A 9,038-nucleotide genomic window follows, 5' to 3' on the forward strand; every position below is an offset into this window, starting at 1 on the left:
GCTTTCTGGGATCACTCTGGGAATTAAAAGTTCACCTCTAGATGGAGGTTCAGGGGCTAAGTGAGATTCTAGGGGCTTGACCAGAAACCTCGAATTCCATTAGTGCTTAACCCTCTATGGGAAGTTAGGAGGAAAGGTATTTTCCCTTTTCTCCCAACATGAATCAGATTTTCCCTCTAAATAGCTCAACTGTTGGGCTCCGAGAGAAAAGAGGTGCACTGTGATCTGGCTGGGGCAAGGACGCTGCTCCCTCTGTGTGAGCCACTCCCTCCCCCTCCACTGCACCCTTGGTGGCCTGGGCTACCTCCAGTGTGTCACAGTCCCACTTGGTGGAAAGCAGAGGTCTGGCTCGACCAGCTCTGAGTGCCTCAGTCCTGCAGGTCTGAAACATGGTGGCTCCTCCGCCAGACTATGAACCCACCACCACCTTCCCAGAAACACTGCTGTCTGATGGGTTTCACTTTTGCATCGGGTTTGAGCTACATCAAGGACCCAATTCAGAGAAGAGCCTTTTTCCTAATACACAAACACACACATGTGCATGCTAGTGTGAATTCCACCCATCCTTCAAGGCTCAGGCCTCCCCTCTCCCATGAAGCTGACAATCACCACCCCCAGCTTCTGCTCCTTCTCCCCCTGTTCCCCCTCCTCCTCCTCTGTCTCCTCCTCTTCTTCTTACTTCATCACCACTATTTACTGAGTGCAAACCATGTAGCAGGCAATAGGCTAAGTACTTTAAAGATACTATTAATATCTTTGTTAATCCCCACAAAAACCTTATTATTGCCTGTACTTTATACATAAACAGCCTAGGGCTCAGAGGAGTTTTGCTGCTCATCCAGGGTCACACAGGTAGCAAGTAATAGCACCAACCGTTGAACCCAGGTAAGAGTGATGCACAGGCCATCTCGGCCTCCGGACTAGACTCCAGTGACCTGCACCTGCGCTGGTTCCCACTCCCGAGAACTCTCTCTGGATGTCTTGCATGCAGTCTGGTGCTGCTAGCAGCCACGCTCTCCCCTGAGCAGGCTGCTTGGCCTCAGCAGAAAGTGCATGGAAATCCCTGTTTCTTCATCTGGCTCTGGGGTTACTTTATGTGTGACCTTGGGCAAATTATGCTCTGCTTCAGCTTTCTGGACTGGAAAATGGAAATAAAAATACTTACCTTGCAGGGTTGCCTGTGATGCTCAATGACCTATTACATTTGAAAGTTCTTGATAAGTGAGAGATATAAAATATCATTATTTTTACTATGTCCTGTCTCCAGTGCCACTAGGCAGGGTCACAAGCTCCTTGGGGGCAGGCCCTGTGCAAGTGCCTCATTATTCCCACAGAGCTTCTGGCCAGTGCTGAATATATAAATGACACTTAAAACAAAGGGGTTGACCTAATAAAAGCACCTTGTTTATAAATGTGCTTTCTCTATAATATTGCCAAATTGCCCTCCATAGGGCCTGTGCCACTTTGTACCTGGAGCAGTGGCAATCAATGAGCTCTACTGTTTCTGTACACTTCCCTAACACCATGTGATAACCAACATTGAGATTTTTGCCAACCCTATAGGTAAAAATGAGCATCTCAGCATGATTTAAATGTGCATTTATCTTATTATGAATTAGGTGAAGCAGAGTTTCATATATTTAACAGCCACTGGTATATCCTTTCATATAAATGGCTGTCAACTGTATTGCACTGTTGGTCTTGTTTCTTCCTCATTGATCTGTAGGATATGTATTTGAGGGATCAAGGACATATCATTTGCAAATATTCTTTCCTAGTTTGTCATTTGTTTTTAACTTTATGTATGCTGTAACTCGTTTGAGAACATCAGCAAAGAGAAGCCAGCACATAAGACCTGGTGGAAATTTAGGAGAGTCCACGTGAGCTCACAATGTGCTTCTCGCGCTGAGTATGTGTCTGTGTGCCAAGAGAAATACAGAGATGCAGGACAAATGAGGTGAAAACTTTTTTTACAGATATATTTATTAACTTACACTATTTATAGTTAAACAACTATGGATATAATATAGTATGGAATTCAACATTTGTATAAATTTTTTGAGTAAAGCGTTGAAATGTCAAAGTAATGGCACACCTGCATCTGACTGCTTTGGGCCCTGCCCCCAGACACTCTTTTAGGGGTTTTTCAGTAAGAAAGTTTGAAAAGTGCTGCCCTCATGGGAATCAGTAAGCTCAAGTTCTTATCTCAGTTTTGCCCTAAATTATCTGTGTGACTTGGATGAATCATGGTAGGTGCCATAAATGTCATAAACTTCAGTGGTGTCATAAACATCCTAAGCCAGAATAGCCAGTCTGTGGGCAGGGGTTGCTATTTACTGCTGAATCCTCTGTGTCTGGGACACATACCTGGTACATAGCAGAGGCTCAATAAATAGATATCGAATACAAATAAAGCGACATGCTCAAAGTGCACTTTGTAACTGTCCCCAGAGGGACAGTTTTCAGTTCTGTCAGCATCTAAAGGGCTGGCCTACTCTATGTAGGACTCTGGGATACCAAGGTGAGTGAGGCAGGTCCCTGTCCTTCCCCCTGTCCGGAGGAAGCAGACACATGCACTCTGGTGTGAAGACGCTGCAGGAACTTCCTGGCTCCATGCCCCTCCCCACTCCATTCTTGCCTGGGTGTTGTAGGACACTGAGGCCGAGGCCAAGACTGACAACTTTGCCATGTGTATCGAAGATCACCTTATTCACTCTTCTGCTATCTCAAACCCCTACCCCCATTTTGTGGGGGACCTGGGGTGGTCCAGGCCCTGTGAGACTATCAGCAAAAGCAGTCTTCTCACATCATGGTGGTCCCGACCCCTGTCATGCACCCTGCCCTAAAGACACATGATCTGGGCTGTTTATGGGGTGTGGGCTCTGAGATGTGGGTGGCAGCTCCTGGGCCATCGGCAGGCAGTAAAGTCTGCAGTGCAGGCCTGTTTTCCAGCTACAGCTGCCACATCAAAAGGCCAAACTCCCTGCAAACTTTGCCTTAATTAAAAAGTTACGGTAATCCTCAGGATAGAGGCCGGTTGGACACCCCTGGAGACAAAAGTTCTCTCTGTGGCCACGGACCAGGCCCTTCCACCCACCCCAGGCACTATTAAAAGTGGGACCACGCTGTGGGCATCACAGGGTCTGGTGAAATAGGAGCGGAAAGACCCTCTTCTTTCTCCATACTCATAATTTGCTTTGGAGGGCTCTAGAGCCAAACATTTGAAAAGGGGCTCTGGCTTCTTGGACAGATTTCTCATTCTCACATGCCCCTGTATGCTTTGGGGTCTTTCCCAGCTGTGTTTTCAAATGGCTCAAGCCCACGGAGGCAAGTGTTAGAGAGCTAGGGCCTGTGGAACACCCAAGTCCCATTCCATATCTGTAGTCAGCGTGGTAATTCATATTTTCATTTTCCCCATGAGCAAAATGAGCCCTGGCAATGGAAAGGGGCTTGCCCACAGCTACCCAGTATACTGAAGGCCAGCACCCTGCTCACGGTCCTAACTGAATCAGTCCACTGTTATGAAAGTTGCAGAGATAGCGATGTTCACTGGACTATCCATTTGCTCCTCCACATTCCCCAGACCTCTTATACATAGGCAGGGTCATGTGACTGGCCAGTGACATGTCAACCAGAGTGAAATGCATCCGTTCTTCTGCTGCATGGAAAAGCAGATATTGGATTCTCTAGCCTCTCTCTGTCTCACTGCCAGGACCGATGATGACAGTGTTCCACATAGTGAAGTCTTCGTGGGTTTGGGGCCTGCATAAGTGCCCCTCTCTGCTACTTGTAGTGAACTCACATTACATATTTTTGCTGTGCTAAGTCACAGAGCTTTTTTTCTTGCAGCAGAGCAACCTAGCCTAACCTAAGCAATATGCTATTTAACAAATTAGCCAATGAGCACTTGGTTTTTACTGACTCACTTGTTCATGAGGGCCCCGAAGAGTCCATAGATAACCAAGGAGAAGTTGAATAAAGGAAGATTTCAGCTCAAACATAAAACAATACTTTTCACAGAGTCATGTGGAGATGAATGTGCTGCTTCAGGACATGGTGCCATCTCTACTTTTGAACAGATTTGTAGCTGAGGCCATATGGCTTTTTGCAGGAGGATGGTGGAGTCAAATCCAATGGAGTGGAGTGAAGATTTATCTCCTCGTGCTCAGGGTCTCCTCTCCCAGCAATTCACATGCATGTGAATTCCAAAGAGACTCCATCTCTGCAGGATGGTTCTTCCAAATATTCTCCCCTGGGCAGATGGTTTTTTTTTAAGTGTCCTGTATGGCACACCAGCAAGTTAGAAAAGCAAGGCCGGGTATCAGCTCCATATGCCCCTTGGCTGGCATCTTTGTTCAGTGCAGAAACCATCCAACTGTACATAGCAGCACCAGATACTGGGCACCATCTCAGCACCTTATATATGCCATTTCATTTTTAAACTTTCTACCATAGTCCAGCAAGATGGGCACTATTATCCCCATTTAACAAAATGAGAAAACCAAAGCTCAGAAAATTTAAGTAAATTGCCTGAAGTCACATAGCTAGTAAACAGCAGAGTTATAGTTCAAATCTGTTCTATTTGCTTCCATGCCCAATGCCCTTTCTATCACTCTACAGCTGCCCCCATTCAAGCTGGGAGTCCATGCCCAAGGTCATATCATGGGCAAAGACAGGGCCCAGGCCAAGGGTACTGGAATCCTAAGCCCAGAACACCAGCTCCACAGTCCTACCCAGAAAAGTGAAATTTCCACAGGTGTGATAAACAGGGACTATTTACAATGCTCTGAGTCTTGCCTCAGTGGAAATATTTAAGGTAGTGTCAAAACAAAATCTATTATTTCATTTATGAAGACATTCATAGGGGCTGGGGAAGGATGCAATGAAATATTTGCTTCTGTAACCAACTGGCATTCTCCTGTTTCAGTCCCCAAGTATGTCTGAGGATCTGGGTCCTGAGTGTAAAATAAAACATACTTAATTTTCTCAAATATCACTAGTTAGGAAAAAAGCAAAAGAAAAGCAGAGTAATTTCCTTCCTCATCTCCTGCCGCAGGTGATTGGATTGCAGGATTGCATGGAGGGAGAAGTGATTTTGTTTCTTGGATGGTGAAATTAAGTGAGCACTTCCCAATTTATTCCTAAAAACACGGAGACACCGCGTTTATGTTCCTGAAATGAGAAATCAGTAGAAACACAACTGGGTAAAGAAAGGGAAATTAAAAAGAAAATCACCAATCATTTGATTATATGACAACACGTGAACACTCACATACTTGATTGTACTCTGCAAGTCTGTAGAAAGGAGGATCATTTAAGAAAAAAAAAAAAAGACGCTGGTTTCAGCATGTTTTTTGTAAGGATGGGCTATGGCAGCTGGAAAGCTAAGTGTCCTGAAACAATGGATGGCCCTCACATTTGTGCAAGGTCTTCAGAGTTTACAAAGCGCTTTCAGACGTGTTGTATTTCTCCTCCATGTCCTGGCTTATGCCAGGCTCTCCAGCTCCCCTTTCAACCCACCCTCCCTGTTCCTGCTCCATGCTTTCTGTACCTGGAATGCCAAACTGCCAGATGTCTCATCCCCTAGCTGTGCCATGTGCACAGGTGCCTACCTACACAGGAATCTGCACTGCTGCTTCTCAGCCCCATGCCTGGGTTGCCTCCGTCATGCCTTCCTCACCTTTAAGACTTCCATCACCTCTGGTGCCGCCTCCTGCAGCCTTCCCTGAGTGCTCCCAGCCTTGCCTGGCCACCCTTCTTCCCTGTTCTCCCATGCCCTCTGTATCTCTCAGTCCATGCAGTCACCAGGATCTGAATGTTGACCTTGCTCCTCTCTTGGCTGAGTGTCCCCTGTAGAGCAGGGAACAGCTTCTTCCTAGGCAGACACTGGACCCAGCAAAGAGCGTGGCTTAGAGTCTGTACCCAAGAATTACCGGGCAAATGAATCCCCTGAGGGTGTCATTGTCCCTATTATATCCACCAAGAAGCTGAGGGTCCTGAGGGCTGGGTGATATGTTTTGTGTCCCCAGTGAGTTAGAGGTGGTGCCTAGGCTAAAGTCCAAGTTGGGTAATTCCTGGCATTCCTGTTTGCTATGGAACACGAATTAGATGCCTCGTGGAACACAGAGACTGGGGTGTATTTGAGGTTATGCGTGTTGGTGCTGGGGCTTCCTTCCCCTCTTAGAAGCAGAGTTGTCTTGAAGTTAAAAAACCATGTGATGTGGCCCCATTGCCCAGTATTCTCTGTATTGGAGCGGAAGTACAGGATAAGAGTCTCCACTTTATCAATGCTTATGGACTTCAGAGTGAAGAGATCAACCAGGACCAGATTAAAGGAAATACAGTTAAAGGAATAAAGTTATGTCAACTCCTTTAATTAATGTGTACATTTATAGTCTCAAGTATACAGACACTTTCTATTTAAAAAATAAGATGAAATTATGAAAGGGATAAAATAAAAGTCAAAAGACATGCTTCAAGGAGGAACTAAATAAAATAGTAAGAGCTGCCTGTGGTGGCAAAAGGAAACACAAAAGAGTGAAAGAAATATACAACTCAAATGAGGATTTGACTATATACAGCTGCCAGAGGCTGCCAGTGAATGGCTGGTCAGCAGCATTGCTGGCCTTCCTCCTTGCAGGATGTTCTTGTATAAATCCAGCAGAGCCTTGGTGCAACTCACTTCTTCTGAATGCCTACTATCTGCATGCCCCTGAAGACACAAAGAACCCCAGAAAAATGGCAATAAAACATAATTAAGAAACACCAGGACAATCTTCACTGCACAGTGGGAGCCCAGAAGGAATGATCATCTCTGTCTACAGGAACTTGTTCCCAGAGCAAACAGGCACCTGAGCAACCCAGATGGGTGAGGGTGACAGGTGGAGAGATGGGAGAAAGATCTCCAGCAGAAGCAGCTGCACAGGGGCAGGCAGCAAAGCCCAGAGCTAGGAAAAGGTGTGAGTCATACGTTTGCAGATCTGTAAGAAGTTTATTATAGCTGGAAGGAAAGGCTGAAAAAATGGTGTTGATGCTCAGTCCTGTTTATTGAACACTTAGTATGAGCTGGGACCAGAACTAATGCACCATTCACTGGCCTCACCATCACGACAACAAATGAGGTTGCCACTGTTACTACCCCCTTTTTGGAATGAGAAGATTAAGTCACTGAGGTGGAGTAACTTGCCCAAGATCACAAGGTTGGTGTGGATCCAGGCCCATGTCCATCTCTGTAAACCCATGTTCTAGATAGTAAAATGTCTCCCATGGTGTATCAGTCACCCATGGCTGTGTAACAAATTACCCCAAAACTTAGCAGCTTAGAACAACAGTTTTAAGGTCAGAAAAAGTTTAAGGTCAGAGTCTGAAATCTGGGAGGGGTCTTACTGGGTGGTTCTGGGTCAGGCTCTCTCATGAAGTTGCAGTCAAGATGTTGTCTGAGGCTGCAGGCATCCAAATCTTAATGGGGCTGGGGCACCATACATCCTAGTTCACTTGGTGGCTATTGGCAGAAGGCGCCTGTTCTGCATGATGTGGGCTCTCCATCATGCTTCTGACCTGGCAGTGTGCTTCTCCAGAACAAATGGCCCAAGACAGCAAGCATGACCAAGACACCAATGTCTTTTATACCCCACCCTTGGAGTGCCACACTTCTGCTGGACGCAATCAGTCACACAAACCAACTGTGGTACAGATCCGGGGCTGAATGCTAAAAGGCAGGGGTCCTGGGGGCCACTAAGAGGCTGCCTCCCATGCCTGGGCATCCTAAACTATTTAGACTTTCTGTTCCTACAAGAAATGGGTAAGGGGGGATTGGGATCTGAAGTTTCGGTTCCTCCAGTGGGAATTCCAGGGGCCGAATTTATTATAAAATGCATGTAGAGAGGCCCAGCTTGACCCACAGTGAGAAGTTCAGCTGCTTTTTCCATCCAAACAGCATGTGCAGTAGAATGGCCCTTCCCCTCCCTGATGGCTGCTCGACTGTGCAGCAAGTCTGTCAAAAGATCTCTGCACACACTAGGTGCTCTGTGTTGTGCTGGCTGAGTTGAATCTGGCTACAGCTGCAGCTCTGGGGACCCTGGGCTTTGCAGTCATGTTCAGAACTCCCTCAGACCCATGTGCCCACTTCCTCAGACCAGCTCATATTTACCCTCTGAGGTGGTCACTGACACAGCCACTGACTGCCCTTCTGAGCAGGGGCTCCCTGCAGATCCTCAGCATGCTGGGTGGGCATGAGCAGGCTGCTCTGAAAAGCTTGGCTTCCCTTTCTGAGGATTTTATCAGTATATAAAAATAAACAGAGTTGGCTGACTCCTTGATGTCTCAGGGTTGCATTTTAATTGCTGCTGCTTCCGAGAAGACAGGCCAGCTCCACTTCCTGGTAGACGCCCGCACTCACAGGAACAGAGCTGAACTCTGGGTGTTGGGGCCAGAGCATCCCAGAGTGTGACTGACTGGTTTGCAATTAGCACTTCATTAGAGGGACACCTCTGGTTCACAGGACCAAGACTGGCTCACAGAGCCTGCATAGGGATGAACATCTCCCGCCTGCCCACAGAGTGATCTTTCTAGAACCCGCCTCTAGCCACACTACTTCTTGTTTAAAGTTCTTCTTACCCCTCCCTGCCTTAAGGACCAAGTTCAAACTCTCAGCCCGGCTTACAGGGACTGCCACAATCTGGCCTCTGCCTGCTCCTCAGCTTCATCCACGCCCTCACCCCAACTCCCTGGCCCTGCTTCCTTTATTTTCTACTGCAGTCAGATTCAACTACTCGTAGCTGGTAGATGATCGATGCTGTTTTTCACCTCATCTCTGCCTTGAATGCCCTTCCCTTCCCAAATAACATCTATTCCTGCTTCAGAATTAATCTTCCCCCTCCTGTCTGTTATCTGGGAAGCTGTCCATTAGCCACCCTGAGCTGAATTATAGTCTCCTTTTCTTGCTTCCACAGCAGTGAGATGGTGGTGCTGAGCCCTGAACGCTGTCTGCTTCCTAGAAGTCCCTGGCAGCGTCCCCACCCCCACGGAACCCCCTCACC

General features: G+C 47.0%; 1 annotated feature.

Annotated features, from left to right (window-relative positions):
* Nucleotides 2,091-3,729: an enhancer, noted in NCBI's record as "VISTA enhancer hs1491". NCBI's record gives its function as "enhancer in: limb[7/12] | tail[5/12]" and the evidence as "EXISTENCE:transgenic organism evidence [ECO:0001131][PMID:17130149]".

Source organism: Homo sapiens, chromosome 10 (genome assembly GCF_000001405.40).
Source record: "Homo sapiens chromosome 10, GRCh38.p14 Primary Assembly".
NCBI classification, from domain to species: Eukaryota; Metazoa; Chordata; class Mammalia; order Primates; family Hominidae; genus Homo; species Homo sapiens.